The sequence below is a fragment of the Homo sapiens genome, chromosome 4 (assembly GCF_000001405.40).
Source record: "Homo sapiens chromosome 4, GRCh38.p14 Primary Assembly".
NCBI classification, from domain to species: domain Eukaryota; kingdom Metazoa; phylum Chordata; class Mammalia; order Primates; family Hominidae; genus Homo; species Homo sapiens.
The window spans coordinates 110,356,074-110,376,825 of NC_000004.12; the positions used below are offsets into that span (position 1 = coordinate 110,356,074).

The 20,752-nt window shown below is 40.0% G+C and overlaps 1 long non-coding RNA gene across 3 annotated transcripts; it reads left to right on the forward strand.

The window, feature by feature from the left end:
• Positions 1 to 9,505: 9,505 nt before the first annotated feature.
• On the forward strand, positions 9,506 to 17,380 carry LOC105377362 (uncharacterized). Of its 3 annotated transcripts, XR_939069.3 has the most exons (4): positions 9,506 to 9,731; positions 10,907 to 11,040; positions 12,435 to 12,567; positions 13,871 to 14,909. It is a non-coding gene; the product is annotated as an uncharacterized LOC105377362 (long non-coding RNA). The 3 variants fall into 3 exon arrangements; XR_939070.3 differs by lacking the exons at positions 12,435 to 12,567; positions 13,871 to 14,909 and adding an exon at positions 17,284 to 17,380; XR_939068.3 differs by lacking the exon at positions 12,435 to 12,567.
• Positions 17,381 to 20,752: the final 3,372 nt, after the last annotated feature.

The following is a 20,752-nucleotide window of genomic DNA, read 5'->3' on the forward strand; positions in this document are numbered from 1 at the left end:
GGCTGGACTTTGGGGGAAGATTACCTTCCCACTCTGTCTCCTTTTTAGCTCCCTTTTCCACTGAGAGCCACTTTCATTGGCAATAAAATCCCCTGCATTTACCATCTCCAATTTGTTCGTGTGACCTCTTTCCTCCAGGACGCTGGTCACGAACTCGGGTGCAGGTGCAAAAGGCTGTCACACTGACCCTCCACTGAGCTCTTAACACCTAAACCATCCAAGGATTGCGAAGCTAAAAGAGTACTGACTATAACACTCCTTCTGGGGCTTCAGGGGTCGTGGGCACCCTCCTAGATGCTGCTGCAGATCCAGCATGGAGTTAATTCCTGCTGGTGCCCAAAGCACTCGCCCCGGCTCCTGCACCCGCTCACCTGCATGCTCCCTCCCGCAGAGAGATTGAGTGCAGTGAGTTCGAGTGAATGCAGTTTGCCCCTGATGATGCCTGTGCACTCCAGTTCTTGCCTGCAAATGGGTCAGGGAAAATTTCCTGCTTCACTGTTACCAAAGTCCAGGGACCACCACTCTCTCTCACATCACCTGGTTCAAATTGATCTTTCTGCATTGGCCTCCCAAAGTGTTCTTAGGAGTGAGCCACCATGCCCAGCCTCCTTTGCCAAACACTTTTAATTCCCATTTCTTGATTTGTTTCTTTCTCTAATACACTATACAGACAGTCCCCAAATCTAACAATAGTTACTTACACATGATTTTCTGAATTCATAATGATGCAAAAGCCATGTGCATTCAGTATGCTTCTCAATTTATGATGGGTTTACATCCAAATAAACCCACCTTTAAATTGAAAATGTCATAATTCAACTTATATTATTTTCCACTTACAATGGGTTTATTGGGATGTAGCCCCATCATAAGTCGAGGAGCATGTGTATATTTTACTTTTAAATCTTGTTTATTGTCTGTCTCTCCCAGGGCTTCATGTGATTTTCATGGGCCTTAGGCATATTGCTTCTATGGGACCCTTCCTCTATGTAGAAATGCTAGAATTTTTATTTGAAGACTGTATTCGTATAAAAACAATTCTAGTCCAGGCTGGATTCATTATTTTATATTCTTTTTTTCTTCTGATTTTAAATGAAGTTAAAATTAAAACAATTTTGTGGGACCCTGAAAGTATTATGGGCCCTATGCACTGTGACTAATGAGTAAATCAGCTCCTGAGAGTTCACAACCAGCCTGGGCAACACAGCAAGACCTTGTCTCCACAAAAAATGTTTTAAAAAAATTATCCAGGTGTGGTGGTGCATGCCTATAGTCCCAGCTACTCAGGAAGCTGAGACGGGAGGGTTGCTTGAGCCTGGAGTGTCAAGCCTGCAGTGAGCTGTGATTGTGCCACTACACTGCAATCTAAGTGACAGAGTGAGAACCTGTCTCAAAAAAAGAAAAAGTGTTAGGGGAAGGACAGTTGAAGTTTCAGATAGGATATCTCAGGAGCAAGGTTTCCTGAGCAGGTGACTCCTGAGTAAAGAGCTAGAAGAGGGAGGGATATGCGGTGTTCGAAATGTAGACAGAGATTGTTCTTGTAAGAAGGATCAGCAGGTGCTTAGGCCCTGAGGCAAGAAGGCACTTACTATGTGAATGACAGTGAGGAGGCCAGTGTGACTAGAATGTATGGACAAGGAGACAAACAAAGGGAAGAGTAGTAAGAGATGAGGTCAGAGAGTTGACTGAAGGCCAGACCACTGGGATTGTGTAAGGTTACAGGAAGAACTTTGACTTATATTTTGACCTGATTTATATTTTAAAGAGATCTCTCTAGGTATTGCATTTATTTTGAAGAGAATAAATTGAAGGAGGCACAAGCACAAGGTGAAAGACCAGTTAATAGACCACAGTAACAATCCAAGTGAGTAATAATGGTGACTTGAACCAGTGGAGTTGCAGTGGGAGTGGTGAGAAGTGGATGGATTCTGTAACTATTTTCAATGTAGTGGTAACAGTCTTTGCTGATGGGTTGAATGAGTGTTGTGAGAGAAAAGGAAGGGTCAAAGATGAATACAAGTGTTTTGGCCTGAGCAAAAGAATGGGTGGAGTTACCATTGATTGAGATGGGGGAAGACTGAGGGAGGGAGAGAGGGAGGAGGTAGGTTGGATGAGAAGAGCAAGTTCTCAATTAAAAATGCAGATGCCCATGCTGTAAAAGCAACTGAAGATGTTCTCACTAGAAATATACTTCTGGGAGTCATCAGTTTGATCTCATTCAGTCATCAATTGAATATCATCAGGTGATGGTATTCAGTGCCTTGGGATGGGAAGAGATCACTGAGAGAGTAAGTCCAGAGAGTTGCAATGTCTTTTAAATTTTTGTATGTTCAACAACTAACTCAGTACTTGACTTCCAATACCTATTACTAATTGAATGAAGATGTTTGTACTTGTCCCCCTAGGAGGAAGCTATGCACATAATTTCCAAACTAGTTACTGAGGAAGTGTTAAGCCCCCTTGTTATATACACGTAGCTCCCTGATATTTTTCTTGGGACATTTATTTCAGTTTGCACTTCTATGTTTATCTGGATGATTATTTAAGTTATAGCTCTCCACCTAAGCCTTATGAGGGTAAAGACCATATCCTCTATTCTTCTTCCCACTGACATCCAGCACAGCGTCTAAAATATAATGGTTAACTTGTTGAGCAAAAAAAAAAAAAAAACGGAAAATACTTTTTTATATTAAAGTCATTTTATTTGGACTTATCTATTGAATAAACTTGCTTGGACTCTTAAAGTCTACTTTTTTAAAAAAAACAAAATCTAATGGGGAAAACCACAATAACCTAAATCTTCATTTTCAACTAGTAGCATTAAGTTAATACTCCTTCCTTATCTGCTCATCTGCCCAGACCAATCATCAATAGATAGAGAGTTCACCACATACTCTCCTTACAAAGTCTGTGTATAACCTCACACCCTTCCCAGACACTGTCTCAGTTGCCCACTACCACATCATCTGATTGGTACTCATGACAAAACTCATCTGCTATCCTTTACCTAAATCACATCAGGTGACCTCAAATCAGCTTTATGCCCCCATTGGGCTAAATCTATAAAAATAATATCATATTTATGGATATTATAACTGCAAAGTCAACATGGCTAATTAGCACCCACATCCAGCAACTCCTTGTTGTTCCTGCCGAAAGGAAAGCCTTTGCTATCATTGGGCCAGCTGTCACTTAGTAATAGTTGGTCTATGATGCTACTGCAGCAGATGCTTCCCAGCCCTCCCTCCCCACAAATAAAACCCACTACTTAGTGAAGGGTTCTTTGGTGTCTAGCTTTTATAGTTCAGAATTTCTCTTCAGTCTTAGAATGTTATTACATTTCAAAAAAACCATTCTTTCTGAGATGTCTGTATATTTCTCTGATATCATGATTTCCTATAGCATTAGCTCTCATAAGTTTTTCACCCAAACTAGCAAGGGTATTGCTGGTCCTTTGCAACCCCCAAACTACAGGATCCTTTCTAGCCTCCATTCATTTCAAATGATTCCAGCCCTGAGAAATCAAATAAGAAGACTAGAATTTGGATGAGAGAGTTTGAGTGCTCTACAGTGCAAGGCTTCAAGGGGTTGGGAGAATCTGATTTGAAAAGCATGTCTGGGTGGAGGATGCTAGTGGTGCTTTTGAGGTCTGCTCAAGCAAAAGATGGTATGAGGCCCCAAGTTCTGGAGCAATGTGTGCTTGCTCTTTTTGTTATTTTAATTACTACTGATTGTGCATTTTCTTTGTGCTTAATAATTGTATAGATTTTATTATTCAATTCCTTCACAAATCCTATAATGCAGGTATTATCATTTTTCCCCATTTTACAGATGAGGAAACTGGGCACTAAGTTATATACTTCAAAAAGTCTCATAGCTAGCAGATGGTATAACCAATATTTGAATCTGTATCTCAGAATTTGTCCACTTAACTGTTTCCTTATTTTTGCCTCTTGGTGTTCAGTACCAAAGAGGCTTGCTACTGAAGCCATACCTTAGGGCATAAGGATTGGAAAAGACTTGAAAGATACGCAATTCCTATTTTCCTATTTTTATCTGAGGCTAGGCTTACATCCCCAGATAAAATGGGAAAGAACTGAACTGTCTTGATTACTGCTGTTTCCAATGCCTAGGCAATGTTTGGTGTACAGGTGCTAGACAAATATTAGTGGAAGGAATACATGATTTGGAATGAGAAGTTCAAAGCCATCATCACATAGTCTTTTTTCCTAGCACCAATATTTCCATAAATATTTAAAAACCTCATGAAAGTCCGTAAAGACTTTCATGACGTTTTTAAAAAGAAATGGCATTCAGTGGCTATCTGTGGTTCTCTAATGTCGTGGTGCTCAGGGTGGATCTTTGCAGAGCACACTGTCAGAGGACCCCTGTTTATCAACTTTTTTTTTTTTTTTAGAGACAGGGTCTTGCTCCTGTCACCCAGGCTGGAGTGCAGTTGCATGATCATAACTCACTACACACTCGAACTCCTGGGCTCAAGTGATCCTTCCGCCTAAGCTTCCCAAGTAGCTAGGACTAAAGGAGTGTGCCACCACATGTGGCTTGTTTATTAACTTCTTGAGTGATCCCTGTGATTTTAATTGGAAAAGTTCCCTTTGCTTTCTACTCTAAACTTCAGCACACTACACTGATGATGCTTAAACAGCTGCTAGTTTCCACTCTAGAGGAGTCTACTTTTCAGCGATGAGCAGGAGAATGCCAATAAATAGGGCTGAAGCAGGGTTCCTGGAATAAGGTGTGAGACTCAGCTTATCCTTATGGGATGTGTCAGGTGAATCATAGGGCCGTCATGGAACTCCTTGCTCACCTACGCTCCTGAGAGTTTAGAAGATGTCCTCCATATCATTAGTTACAGGACCTATCTGTATATAATTACTTCCTGGTTTTGACGTAGATGACCCAAATGACCAAAATCTTCTGTCATGATCAGGCCGTCTTCCAGTGTTTTAGTCAGTTTTGCTGATAGGCGATATTTAGATAAGCCTTTTAAAACCAGTCATCTTATCTAAACTTTTAAGCTCTGTGCTACCTAAATATATGTCCAGCCCATCCCTTGTGTTAGTTTACTACTGGGCAAATATTCATAAAACAATGAAAAAGAGTTCTATATTGTACTATTGAAAACCATACTTGAAGCTAACCCCATATCCTTGATTACCCATTCCGCTGTCCTGATGGATCTCTTCCCTATCTTCCCTTTAGTTACCAGAAAAGTCCCCTAGAGTAATGGTTTTCAACTGGAGGGAATTTTGCCATCAGGGGACATTTGGCAATGTCTGGAGACATTTTTGGTTGCCACAACTTGGAGGATGCTATGGGAATCAGAGACCAGAGATGCTGCTAAACATCCTTCAATACACAGGGCAGCCCCACAACAAAAATGATCCTTCTCAAAATGTCGACAGTGCTGCTGTTGAGAAACTTCACTCTAGATTATGGGGGATGTTAATATCATGGGGGATCACAATAAGGACATCTCTTGTTTACACTTATCAAATTTAATTTTATTGACATTAAAATAATAAACCTGGTATTTATAAATAGGTAGAGGAAAACACACTGTCTTAACAGAAATGATAAAGATAAATTATAAAGCACAACTTCGTGCTAGCCACTCTATTCGGTCCTTTATGTGTATCTTCATCTCATCCTTACAATTCTATGAAAGAAGTATTGCTCTTTTCCCCGTTTTACAGGAAGGTAACTGCAGTTCATAGGTGAATAAATGTGCTTAAGTCCACATGGATACAAAGGAGTAGAGCCAGGATTTGGATCCCAGTATGACTACAAAGTCCACGTTCTTTCCCCTATAGCTTCAGAACGATCTTTTTCCATTTGGAAGGAGAGCACAGAAATAAAATGCTCAAAAATTTCAATCTCATCTTCGATGACTTTTCTTATTTCCTTTCAATTAATTCACTTGACCAGAAATTCCTGTTCCACAGCAAGTCAGGCAGAGCAGCCCATCCCCTGACTCATTTCCACAGTTTGCAGCCTGCTGTCTCCAGCTTGCCTCTCAAGCACAATCCTCCCATGCATGGGAAAGCTGTGGTGCACTGGAGACATCACACTGTTCTTGTGGTTTGTGGCCAAACTCCCTCACTGAGCCTCCCTTTTAACTGTTTCCTGGCTCGTTTGTGAATGATTTTGTGGCCTTTTCCCCCAGAAAATATCAAAGACTACCATTTTGATGTTCCCTGGTGAAGGCAGTGGCCTTTTTTTCAATTTTCTCATTTATCTAATATTGCTGGGATAATGTTTAGCCAAGCCCTACCCACCCCATTTCAGAATATCTGCTTAGCTAGGTCTAAATATGTATATAAAACTTTTGAGTCACTTTAATACTGTACCATAAGGATGTATACTCTTTTACACTATTATAAATATTTCTTCTGGTTTTCTCAGTATGAGCAGCCAGGGCTAATACTTCAGGGAGATCCTTCTCTTCTCCTTAAACTGAAATCATGATTCCTGTGCTGTGGGGCCTTGAAGATGATGAAATGAAGTTCATTAAATTATCTAGCTGTGACCTCCTAAGAACAAAAGATTGACTACTTGGCAAAACAATTTAATTGAAATCCTCATCCACATCTCAAAATAAATTTTACTAAGCTCAGTGATGTATAGAAATAAAACATTCTTTTTTTTTTTTTTTTTTGAGATGGAATTTCATTCTTGTTGCCCAGGCTGGAGTGCAATGGTGCAATATTGGCTCACTGAAACCTCCGCCTCCCGGGTTCAAGTCATTCTCTTGTCTCAGTCTCTCTAGTAGCTGGATTACAGGCAGATGCCATGATGCCCAGCTAATTTTTGTATTTTTAATAGAGACAGGGTTTCACCATGTTGGTCAAGGCTGGTTTCCAACTCCTGACCTCAGGTGATCCACCTGCCGAGACCCCCCCAAAGTGCTGGGATTATAGGCGTGAGCCACCACGTCTGGCCAACATTCTTAATACTAGATGAAAATATGGGTGAGTATTCATTTTATCTCTAGATGAAGAAAGACTTTTATGTACAAAAGCAATGAAAATATTCTCAAAGGAATAGAGCAATCAGTTGAAGAACCAAAGCATAGTAGACCTTTCTTTATAAAAATTAGAAATAAAATTAGAAGTCAGCCATGGAGGTAGAGATTGAAAGGGGGAAGGGGAGGTGTCTGGGTCTAGGATGCTGATAGTGCTGTGTTTGTTGATCTGGGTTTGATTGCATGATAGCTACACTTCTCACTGAGCAGTACACTTATTTTATATTCATACATACCTATATAGTCAATAAAAAGTCAAAGGCAAACAGGTAAAAATATATTTCATGGGTGTGACAGATAAATGTAAAATAATAATGAAATTTTAATAATAAAAAAATTGACCATGGACAATATAAATGACTAATAAACACCAAAAGAGTTTAAAATGTAATTATTTCTAAAAATAAAAGCAATGTATGCATATGATTAAAAACTCAACAATACAGAACAACAGAAGGAAAATTAAGTTTACCTCATTCTTCCTTGACTCAGTCTTGCTCTTCTGGAAGAAATCATTATGAACAGGTTCTTCTTCATTCTTCCAGAAAATTTCTATGTATATTAATAATGGAATTATACTATGGTAATGTTCATATTATTATCCTTCCTGAAAATGTCTATGCATATACATATATATTTAAACCAAATGAAATCATACTGTACTGCATATTCAATTACTTTTTTTTTTAGCTGAACAATGTCTTCTGAAGGTTGTTGCTTATTAGCACATGAAATTCTACCTCAATTTTTTTATGGCTTCAGATTATTTCAGTATATCATGATCTAGTTAAATATTTCTCTATTAATGCACATTTTTTAGGCTGGTTTTTGTTTTTGTTTTGTGATTACAAGCAATGTTGCAATTAAAATTTCTACATTTATCTTTGGATATTCATTTTAAAAATTGTCAGAAAAATTCTTAGAAATGGAATTGCTGAGTCAAAGGGAGTTATATGTATATAAACATACACACCTTTTGCATTTTGCAAAATATTTTTCAAATTGCTCTCCATTACAATTATTTGTCCATTAAAAAATTTTAAAAAGACAGGAAAAAATTGTTCTCTAAGGAGTTTGCTCCAAAATTTTGTTCTGCGAAAGTGCTGTCTTACCATACCTTTCCAAACATTAGTTATCTGCAATTTTATTATTTATTTACATATTTTCATTTTTTAGAGACGAGGATCTCACTCTGTCACCCAGGCTAGAGTGCAGGCTAAACTTTTTTTAAAAATTTTTTTGTAGAGACACGGTTTTGCTATATTGATCAGGTTGGTCTGAAACTCCAGGCCAAGGGCAATTCTTCTGACTTAGTCTTTTGAGTTGTTGGGATTACGGGCGTGAGCCACTGTGCCCAGCTCAATTTTATTAATCTTTGACAGTCTAATAGGTTAAAAATGGCTTTTTATTTTAATTTGCATTTTGTAATCACATGCAAAGTTGAGCATTTATGAAGAAATATTTAACCTCAGAACTTGAGCAGAGTGAGGAGGTTGTCCATGATGGAGTGGGCTGGGGAGAGAAGAGGGAGCAGCATTGAATGGAGCCCAGCTGGGTACATCACTGACATATGGGGAGTATTTAAAGCCACAGCAGTGGATGAGAGGACCATGGTGAGAGAAAGAAGAGAGAAAAGGCTGAGGATGGAATCTGCCTTTGGTTTTAACCTGACCACAGCTTCTCTAAAACCAAGATATCCATTTCTTTCTTATCCTCACTAGGACCTCCCATCTCACCTAATTTTCTGACAAATGACCCGCCAATAATGTTTGGGGCTATTTCACAGGTGATGGGGGTCAGTTCATAGGTTTGACTTTTGCTCTAGGAGCAAGGAATTGCTAACATTCTCCTTTCAGGTCCCTAGTGGTTTTGATTCCATTTGATTTCTGGCTCAACAGCTATGGCTTTGTAGAGAGGCCCTCACCTCTCCCCTCATACTTATCTGCATCCCTTTGAATTTTCCCAGCCTCTCAGAGCAGCTCTGCGGCTGAGAAACAAAGCTGGTGGATATTCTCACCAGTTCCACAGCCTGTTGCCAGAGGACTGCTCTAATTTGGTATCTGGCTCCAGCTCACCATCCTCTGACCTTCTTGGATTCAGCTGGGACTCTGATTTCCTTGGTTCTACATTGGCTATTGCTACCACTCTGGCTCTGAGTGGAGCTTCCTCAGTCTGCCTCTCACCCTCCTACTGCTGCCGAAGGATACATTTCTGAAAATGTGCTGCAGATGTGAATATTTTCTGCAAGTGCCTGTGGCTGACCCAGGCTACTGACGCAGTCAGCCTGCTCAGCACTGCTTCTCTGGAACAAACCCTTGACCCCTCTTCCTTTCTCTCAACTTGGACTTTCAGCCCTTTCTATCCCACTTTATCCTGAAGCTCTGCTTGGCTGGCTTAGCTGTTAATTTTTTTTTTTTTTTAATTCCATAGCTTTAACTCTTCTAAGAATTCTGTCATTGTCTCTTTTGATAATTAAGTACTCTCCACCAATGTAGTCCCCTAGGAGGGGAGGGGTTCAGGAGAGAGGAGAAAAAAACAGAAGAGAATTAACATGAATTAAGCAAAGATTCTGGGCCAGGCACCAAAGCTAAGGAGCTTCATACGTTATCTCTTTAATCTCCTCAAAACTTTGAGAATGGATCATTGTTAGCTCATTTTACAAACAGGAAAATGAAAGATTTGAAAGGTAAGATTATTGGACTCTAATCATTCAATAGAAAGAATTGAAATTCAGCTAATATAAATGTAAAGGCTGTTCTATATTTAGTGTGTGAGGAAGCTTCATTTTCCTTAAGTTGGACGATATATTTCTATTATGGCAGACCAAAACCCCAGTGGATGCTTTGGTTTTGTTTGTTTTTGCTTCTGTAACCATGTCAGATTATAAAACTGTTTGGATTTTGTGAAGTCCCTTAAAACATTTTTACATGAGTGGAATCATCCTGAGAGTATTGTTTTTCAGCATTAAGCCTATTGCATTTATTGCTGGCCAATGCCATACATGTTCTTCCACATGGGCATTTGCACAGCTGCCTGTATCCACTCTGTACTCACTGCATTTGGACTTTACGGTTATCTGCATCACAACCATTTTATTAGTTTATGCTCTGATAATTTCTTGTCTTTGGGAATTTTTTTTTAAATTTCAAAAGTTTTAAAATGGCAATATAATTTGCTAAGCAAAAATAGCATTTTAGTATAGTTTCATTTTGGATAGGCTCTAATTATGAATGAGATTAAGCATCTTTTGACTACTACGTAAAAGCCATTTGTAGGTCCCTCTTGTGAATGACACTCATTTTCTTTGTTCATTTTTCTAGTGGATCATTGGTCTATTCTTACTGATTCACAGAAATTCTTCATATATATATTGAGGAAATTAGCGCTTGTGATAAGGGTTGCAAACATTTCTCCCAGTTTGTTGTTTGTGTTTTGAACTTTATATTTTAGGATACACAGAACTTTCAATTTTTATGTTGTCCAATTTATCATTTTTTGAGAGTTTTATAACAGACTTAAAAAGCATTTTCCCTACTTAAAATTGTAAGGAGATCTTTTCATGTTTTCCTCTAGTATTTTTACACATTTCTTTTAAAACTATCATCATTTTGTCATGACTTTGTGATAGACTCTTAATGAATCTCCCTGCCTACAACTTCAGGACCGCCTGAATCCATCTTTCCCCTGGCGGCCACCATGATCTTTAGAATGCAAGTTGGATCCTTCTTACTTTCCTTTTCAAAGTAGTTCATGGTTTTCATTATCCACAGATTAAGACCAGCTCCTTAACATGGTGCACCCAATGATATGATTGTTATTATTTCTTCCCTGTTCTCTCTTACTTCTATGACTATTCACAAGATGCTCCTTTTGTCTGGAAGCTTCAGCTATATGCCATCTCAAGTTCCATCTTCCTGGAAAACCCTTGTAAATCCACCACTGTTAGGCTTAGCCATCATCTCCTTGATGAAGCCTATCCCTGACCTCTGCCCAAGGTAAGTCTTTCCTTGTCTGAGCTCCAGAACTCCGTATGTACTTCTATTGTATGTTCCTCATGTGGTGGCGTTAGCTGGTTTACTTTTCTTCTCTATCATCAGGGCAGGGCTGTGTTTTATTAATATTTGCACTCCCAGTACAGGCACAGATTTTGGAACATAGCAACAGCTCAACGGTGGTTTGCTGGAATGAATGAGGTTCCTTGTTTTGTTTCAGTATTATTCAAAGTAGGATTAGGAAACACTTACATCAGAATAACCTAGGGTACTTATTTTGAAAAATGGAAATTATTGGACCCACCCTAGATACACCACATCAGACTCTCTAGGGAATGAAGCTCAGGAATCCTCATTTTTTTTACTAAACTCCATACATGATTTTTACACATACTGAAGTTCGAAAACTACTCTTACTCCTATGCCTACAAAGGGCTTTTAAACATGACACCTTAGAATGGAGGACCATTTGGAGAGAAGTACTAGGTATTAGGGTGCAAGGGAAGTGAAATAAATTTATGGTATGTCCATAAAATGGAATATTACACATGTGTTAGAATTTATAAGCTAGGTATATTTTCTCTTATGGACGTTCTCCAAGAGCTGTTGTTAATTGAAAAAAAAAAAAGAAGGAAAAAACAGGACCATATGGTTATACATATGCTCAGAAAACCTTCTGGAAGATTACATAGAGAACTGTTAAAAATGCTTATCCCTAGGGAGTGAGATTGGGGTGGCTGGAAAGTTGTAAGCTTGTATTGTTATCTGTGCTATTGTATACTCTTTAAACTTTTTCACGTACCTGCTTCACTTTATTTTTTTTTTTGAGACGGAGTCTCACTCTGTCGCCCAGGCTGGAGTGCAGTGGCACGATCTCGGCTCACTGCAAGCTCCGCCTCCCGGGTTCATGCCATTATCCTGCCTCAGCCTTCTGAGTAGCTGGGACTACAGGCCCACCACCACGCCCGGCTAATTCTTTTTGGATTTTTAGAGAGACGGGGTTTCACCATGTTAGCCAGGATGGTCTCAATCTCTTGACCTCGTGATCCACCTGCCTCGGCCTCCCGAAGTGCTGGGATTACAGGCGTGAGCCACCACACCCGGCCTTCACTTTTATATTATTTAAACTTAAAGTCTTTCTTGTTGTATCACATATTAAAGCAAAAAAGTAAAAAAGTAATAAGGTAATAAGTTGCTTTTCTATATCTACTTTTACAGTGTAATAGAAGATAATAAAATTTTTATGTATCTTCAGAGTTGGCAAACAAGTAATTCAGTGAAAGAAGTTCAGGCTGTGGAAATCCAAAGACCTAGGTTTTTTAAAAAAGATTGACATGAAATTCACGTGACATAAGTGTAACCATTTTATTTTATTTTTATTTTTTTATTTTTTTTAGAGATGGGGGTCTTGCTATGTTGCCTAGGCTGGTGTATAGTGGCTATTTACAGGCACAGTCATAGCCTCAGCCTTCCAAGTAGCTGGTACTACAGGTGCGGCCAACATGCCTCGCTAAGCTGAACCATTTTAAAGTAAGCAATTCAGTTTGTGTTGTGCAACCAACACCTTTATCTAGTTCCAAAATATTTTCATCACCAGTTTCATTATCAGCATTTTTATGGGCAGCTAATAATCTGTGTTCTGTCTCTATCCTGAGTATTCATGTGAATGAAATCATTTAATGTGACCCCTTGTGTCTGGCGTCTTTCACTTAGCATAATGTTTTCGAGGTTCATCCACATTGTAGCATGTCCCAGCACTTTATTCCTTCTTTGATGAGTTATATCTTATTGTACAGTTATAAGACTTGGTTTTGAGACCAGACTCCACTTAGTTCTTGCCTTGAGGTGGGCAAGACACTAACCTTTCTGAGCCTCAATTTCCTGAACTGTAAAATAGGGGTGGTAACAAGAATTTGGATACCTGTATCACAAAATTGTGTGTATGAAATGGAGGACTGCACATGAAAATGCCTGCTACATGATCAGGCCAAACAGAATGTGCTGGACCCAGATCCAGACCCAGACCCACTCCCAGACCCAACCACTGGAGTGGAGCTGGAGGCAAGGGCTGCAGGCAGCAGGCCCGGCTGCAGGCTACAGAAAGAACTCTAGCTAGGAGAAAGTGAAGCGCTGAGGATGGTCATCTATGCAAATTGTCAGCAAGAGGGAAGCTTGCCAAGAGAGAAAGGCAGTGTCTCCTTGATGGCTGGAACTCAGTCTCAGGGCATCTAGGCATCCCCGAAATCTGAGATTTCTGTGAGGAAACAGTTCCTTTTGGGGCTTAGGGACTGGTCTGTTATCTCAGTGAGGACAGGCAGGAGTGGTCATCCAAGTCGGATTTCTGAATCTAAGGAAGCCGACTAGCAACAGGCATCCAGACATGAGGGAATTAAGTGGACCTCAGCAATTAGAATAGGGGTCCCAAGTCAGTCTGGCCCTAAGATTCACTTGTGCTGCATTGTTGAACTAGGGTTTACTTTCTGTCCAGCGATAAGATTGATCCCAAAGACTCCCTCCTTAGGAGGGAAAGGGGAGCCATCAGTGGTGAGGCAAGGGCATACATGAGTGACATTTTGCAGAGATTCAAGTGATATGTGGTCATGGCTTTATTTCTGTTCCTCATAATTCTATATGTGATAGAATTGGTTCATATAACAACCTATATAAGTTGGTACAAAAGTAATTGTGGTTTTTGCATTATTGAAATTTGCCATTTGACACTGGAATACATTCTTAAGTAAATGTGGCTATGTTATACATCATTCTAATGCATATTTCTCATTTTTTTTTGCTAATGACTTATTACTTGCTGTTTATTTTATATTTATTTTAGACTATGGAAATAATGTTAGACAAAAAGCAAATTCAAACGATTTTCTTATTCAAATTCAAAATGGGTCATAAAATAGCAGAGACAACTCGCAACATCAAAAATGCATTTGGCCCAGGAACTGCTAATGAAGAAATGTACAGTGCAGTGGTGGTTCAAGAAGTTTTGCAAAGCAGAAGAGAGCCTTGAAGATGAGGAGCATAGTGGCCAGCCATCAGAAGTTGACAACAACCAACTGAGAGCACTCATGGAAGCTGATCCTCTTACAAACACATGAGAAGTTGCCCAAGAACTCAACGTCAACCATTCTATGGTTGTTCATCATTGAAGCAGATGGAAAGGCAAAGAAGCTCGATAAATGGGTGCCTCACGAGCTCAGCAAACATAAAATAAAACCATCATTTTGAAGTATCATCTCTTAGTCTACACAACAATAACGAACCATTTCTCCATCGGATTGTGCAATGAAAAGTGAATTTTGTATGACAACTGGTGATGACCAGCTCAGTGATTGGATCAAGAAAGAAGCTCCAAAGTCCCAAAGCCAAACTTGTACCAAAAAAGGTCATGGTCACTGGGATCTGCTGCCGGTTATGATCCTCTACAGCTTTCTGAATCCCAGTGAAACCATTACATCTGAGAAGCATGCTCAGCAAATCGATGAGATGCACTGAAAACCGCAATGCCTGCAGCCGGCATTGGTCAACAGAAAGGGCCCAATTCACCACGACAATGCTTGACGGCACATCACACAACCAATGCTTCAAAAGTTGAATGAATTGGGCTACAAAGTTTTGCCTCATCCACCATATTCACTTGATCTCTCGCCAACCAGCTACCACTTCTTCAAGCATCTCAACAACTTTTTGCAGGGATAATGCTTCCACAACCAGCAGGATGCAAAAAATGCTTTCCAAGAGTTTGTCGAATCCCAAAGCTCGAATTTTTATACTGCAGGAATAAACAAACTTATTTCTTGTTGGCAAAAATCTGTTGATTGTAATGGTTCCTATTTTGAGTAATAAAGATGTGTTTGAGCCCAGTTATAACGATTTAAAATTCACGGTCCAAAACTGCAATTACTTTTGCACCAACCTTAGATAGTGACTCCATAACATAACAATAGACAGTTCAGTCATCAAGAGTAGGTCAAACTGGTTATTCAAAAAACAAACTCACTTAAGTATTTTTCCATTTTTCAGCTGGCACTTTTATAAGTACAATCATAGAATAATAATAAAATAATAATTACATAATAATTATAATTAATTAAATAATAATTAAATTAAATTAAAATTATAATTAATTAAATAGTAATAAATAAAAGCCTGTAATTCTTTTAGATCATCTAACAGCTTATGTGATTTGAGAATAGCAATGATTTGTACTGATTCCCCAAAATTCACAAACTCATCATCAGAAGGGGGAGAAGTTGGGTGAAAGGGAGGTACTGACTTGTTTCGAGAATCATGTGATGAATAGCTCCTTTGCTTCCAGGATTACTCTTCTGTCACTGGATGAGATGTCTGCAATGGAATTTGCTGACAAAGGACAACTTTGCTTTTATGTGCCTTTGCTTATGGGATGGTTAATAATCTGTGCCTGCCTCCTCATTCAGCCGTTACAAGACTGCTCAGGGGACTCTGAAACAGAAGGCCTCTGTGCTCCCCTCTGTTTAATTATAGTCTGCATTCCCAGAGAAATGAAGTGAGCCTTCTGACTTAGAACAACCTTGTGACCACAGCCTTGACCCTTTGTCCTACGTGGTGCCACTTCTCCGTTAATCATATTGTGCTTACTCAGCTGTCTGGGGTACAGGTGTTCTTAGCTTAGCTGCATACATAGAGTTGAATTAGAGATGGTCAGCTTAGCTACAGACTCCCCTTCAGTTCACAAGCTTGCTTTTTCAGTTCTAATGTCCAAGATAACTGCATCCTCCACCTCTTAAACCTACTCATTCTCTGACGCCCCCAGCCTCTTGAGATTGAGTTTAATAACGATGACAACTATTGTCAAAACACCTACTGTGGGCTAGATATGTCCATCACAACTGTTATACCTTTTTGACAGCTTCCTATGTGCCAGCCATTATTCTAGACACTTTACATATATTATCTCCTTTGATTTTCCCAACAACTCTATGTGTAGATACTATGATTAGTTCCATATTAAAGATGATAAAACCAGAGACCAGGGAGGTTTAGTAACTTTCCCAAGGTAACATGCCTATTAAGCATTAAATGGGAACTTACATAGTCTGGTTTCAAAAGCTGTACTCTGGACTGCTACCCTATACTTTTTCTGCTTTAGAAGCACTATCTCTAATTATTCTTCATTCATTCAACAAATATGTCTTGAGCATCTACTATGAGCCAGAACAAATCCTTGGTGCTAGAATACAAATGATCAGAATAGAAAGAAATCCTTGTCTACATGGAGCTTCTGTTCTAGTTGTAGAAATAGAAAATAGCAAGCATAAGTAAGTAAAATATATTGTATGTTAGAGTCTTAGTCTGTTCAGGCTGCTATAACAAAATATCATAGACCAAATGGCTTGTAAACAACAGAAATGTATTCCTCATGGTTAAAGAGGCTGGGAGTTTCAAGATCAAGGTGCCAGCAGATTTGTTGTGTGGTGAGAGCCAGCTTTCTGGTTCGCAAATGGTGTTTTCTTGCTGTGTTGTCACATGATGGAAGGGCCGAGGCTTCTCTCTGGGGTTTCTTGTGTAAGGACACTAATCCCATCCATGAGGGCTCATTACATAATCACCTCCCAGAGGCCCCACCTCCTAATGCCATTACATTAGGGGTTAGGGTTTCAACATATGAATTGTGGGGAGGACACACTAGGTTCATTGCAGTTAACTAGTGATAACTGCTAAGAGGAAAAACCAATGCAGAGAAGGTATCTGGGAGAAGGAAAGGTTGAACTTTTTGGCAGAATACGAAAGACAGATCCTAACTAAGAGGGTGATATTTGAGTACAGAAAACCAAACAGAGACCTGGAGAAGAGCACTCCCGGCAGACAGTAGAGTCAGTGCCAAGGTCCTGAAGTAGAAGCGTGCTTGGTGTTTTTGAAACATAGCAAGGAAACCTGTGGAGCTGGTCTGTGGTGAGTGAGGGGAGAGAAGCAGAATAAGAGGTCAGAGACCTAACAAGAGATCAGATCTGGTAGGACTATGGTAGTAAGGACTTGGGCTTTTACTCTAAGTGAGATGGAAGAGCCCCTCTGAATCTCACAGATTGATGCGATCTGACAGGCTGATGGGCAGGAAATAGACTGGAGGGAGAGCAGCAGTGAAGGCAGGGAGAGCATTCAGGAGCTTTGCATTAATCCAGTGAGGGCTGACGGTGGCTTGGGCCACAGTATATAAGATAGTCATCGTTATTATTTTCAGAGGTGTTCTTATTTCAGTTTTACAGGTTAAGAAACTGAGACTCGTCCGGGCACGGTGGCTCACGCCTGCAATCCCAGCACTTTCGGAGGCCGAGGCAGGCGGATCACGAAGTCAGGAGATTGAGACCATCCTGGCTAACACGGTGAAAACCCGTCTCTACTAAAAATACAAAAAATTAGCCAGGTGTGGTGGTGGGCACCTGTAGTCCCAGCTACTCGGGAGGCTGAGGCAGGAGAATGGCGTGAACCCGGGAGGGGGAGCTTGCAGTGAGCCGAGATGGCACCACTGCACGCTCCAGACTGGGCCACAGAGTGAGACTCCATCTCAAAAAAAAAAAAAAAAAGGAACTGAGACTCAAAGAGGTTATGTAACCAGACCAAAGTAAACTAGCCAGTGAGAGCAGCATGGGGAGTCCAATTCTGATTTTCCTGAGTCCATGTTTTTTTCTCTGCTGCACCAAGAATCTTTGAAGTACAGTCCTCAGTTCGAAGTCAAAACTAAATTCTCTCTGGGATGCTGAGGATAAAGATCCCTTGAATTTTGATGAATGATGTCTCCCAATTCATTGACCTATTTATTAATTCATCCATCAACTCACACCTCTAGGGAGAGTTGCTATTGAATGTTTCCTGCATCAACTCAGGACTGGGATGGGAATTGGGAAAGGGCAGTGGATATATGGTGGTGGGATATGAGTAAGCCATGACAGAGGGAATTGGGAAGGCAGGAACTAGAACGTCAGAGAAGACATGACAATATCTTTATGCACATTTCCTAGATTTGGGGGCCTAAGTGTCCAACTTGCCCCCTCACCTCATGTCATCTCATCAAGCAACTTTGAATTAATACTTTCAAAATAAAAACATGTCAATTTTTTTTCTCCTAATGATCAAAGGATTACCTGGGACTGGGCTCAGTATGGTGGATTGAGCCCATCTTCGTGCCTCCCACTCACCCCAGTGACAGATGATGTCTCTAACTAGAAAATGAGAAGGGGTGCTGGTGTGTTCTGTAGACCGGAAGTGGTGAGAAAGTCCTAAAAGATGGGAAACAAATAAGGGAGAACTACAGTCCCAAACTTGCTGCCAAAGATGGGAGTGGCTTTAGCGGGGTCTTAGAAGGAGGGAATACATGGAGCAGGACGGAGCTCTGTTGACATGGTCAGAGGAAGAACTGGGTACCAGAGTGGGAGCAGCTAGGTGCTGTGCCAAGCAGGGGCCAGGACAGGCACCTCCCCAGGAGGAGCTGTATGTGGAAGCCCCAGAGGCAGAGCAGATATCCTGGTGGCTGCCATGCCAGGAGAAACCGGGAGCCCAGAGGCCGACTCCTGAGAGAGTCTGGAAGCGCATTCTGCTTGTCTCTCACCATCTCAGAAGACAGGTTGTGATAAAACCTGAGTTTTTTAAATAGGCTTTTTGGCACCATCTAATTTTTCTAATGTATGTGAAAGTATTACTTGGATAAAAATCAAACTTAAATGTCTATAAATTTTATAAGTAGGGTTAACCACTAGAAAAGACATATGAAATAAAAGAAAGAAGGTTTTATTTACTGAGTAAAAGGATGTGAAGAGAAAATATGAGAAAGCATAGTAGAAAGAAGACAAAATATAATGGTCATAAAGTCCAAAAATATCAATAATCAATAATATTAAAAGACAAACACTTCTAGATTGGAACAATAAAATTTCACCATGAAATAACTCAGAAAAGTATAAAATAAAGAATTGGCAATAGATATATCAGGTGAATGTAACAAAAAAGCAGGTATAAAAATATTTGTATCATACAAAATGAAATCCAAGTTAAGAACGTTAAAAGGGGCTGGGCGCGGTGGCTCACGCCTGTAATCTCAGCACTTTGGGAAGCCGAGGTAGGTGGATCACTTGCAATCAGGAGTTTGAGACCAGCCTGGCCAACATGGTGAAACCTCATCTCTACTAAAAATACAAAAATTAGCCGGAGGTGGCGGTGCCAGTGTGTGGTCCCAGCTACTTGGGAGGCTGAGGTGGGAGGATCACTTGAGCCTGGGAGGTCAAGGCTGCAGTGAGCCATGTTCACACCACTGTACTCCAGCCTGGGTGACAAAGTGAGACCCTGTCTCAAAAAAAAAATAAAAAAATAAAAAAATAAAAATGGGGGTAAAGATCTCAAACCTACTTATTTTGCAGTCTTCCCCCTTAGCAAATAGCAGATCTGACCTTCTCAATGAAGCCGTCTCTGACCACCATATCAAAATCACATACCTTTGCCCAGCCAGGTTGAGTGAATGAGTAGATGGGCAAGGACAATTCCAAGGTTTTTATTTTCACCTACTGGAAAGATAGAATCACCATTTACTGAGTGGGGCAGACTGTGGGAGAAGCAGATTTAGAGCAAGGAGAAGAATAGAGTCCAGCTTTGGACATACTAAGTTTGAGGTTCCTACTAAAAATCCAAATGGAGATGTGTAGGCAGCAGAGTATAGCACGTGAGGTTTGAGGACAGGTTTATGCTGAATATCGTTTTGTTTGTTTGTTTTTATTTTTGTCATTGTTGTTGTTTTTGAGACTGAGTCTCACTCTGTCACCCAGACTGGATGCAGTGGCACAATCGTGGCTCACTGCAAACCTCTGCTTCCCAGGTTCAAGTGATTCTCCTGCCTCAGCTTCCTGTTTTGTTGGAACTACAGGCACGCACCACCACACCTGGCTAATTTTTGCATTTTGTTCTTTAGTAGAGATGGGGGTCTTGCTATATTGGCCAGGCTGGTCTTGAACTCCTGACCTCAAGTGATCTGCCCGCTTCGGCCTCTCAAAGTGCTGGGAGTACAGGCATGAGCCACCGTGCTCGGCCACGCTGAATACATTTTAAAATCATCAGTCTACATGTGGAATTCAAAGCCATGAGAGAGTTGGGATCACCCAGCAAGAGAATGAGAGTAGAGAAAAGAACATTTCCTAGGATTGAACCTTGGAAAGAATAAATGTGGGAAAGAATAAACGTGAGCTAGAATAAAGGAATCGAGTAATCGAAAAATGATAAATCTATCCTGTCCGGAAAGTAAAGAAAGTGTTCCAAGCAGGAAAGAGTGATGTATCATGCCAAATACTACCGATACATCGCCTACTCTGAGCAATGAGAGTTGGCCATTAGATTAGCCACACAGAGATCACTCAAATCCAACAGAGAATCAAAAGAAAATCTTCACACCATAATCAAGTAAAATGTATTGCAGAAAATCAAGAGTGCTTCAACATCAGAAAATCTATTAATGTAATTCCCTACATTCAGACTAAAGGAAAGAAGTCATATAATCATTTCAATATATTATTTCAAATTTTATCAAAATACATTTGATAAAATTTAACACTCATTCCTGATTTTAAAAACACTTAGGAAACTAGGTATTATTTAATTTCTTAAACTTGATGAGGGATATTGGTATGTTAGAGCATAATCTATAGAAGGGGTTGTCAAACCTTTTCTAATAGGGACAAATAGTAAA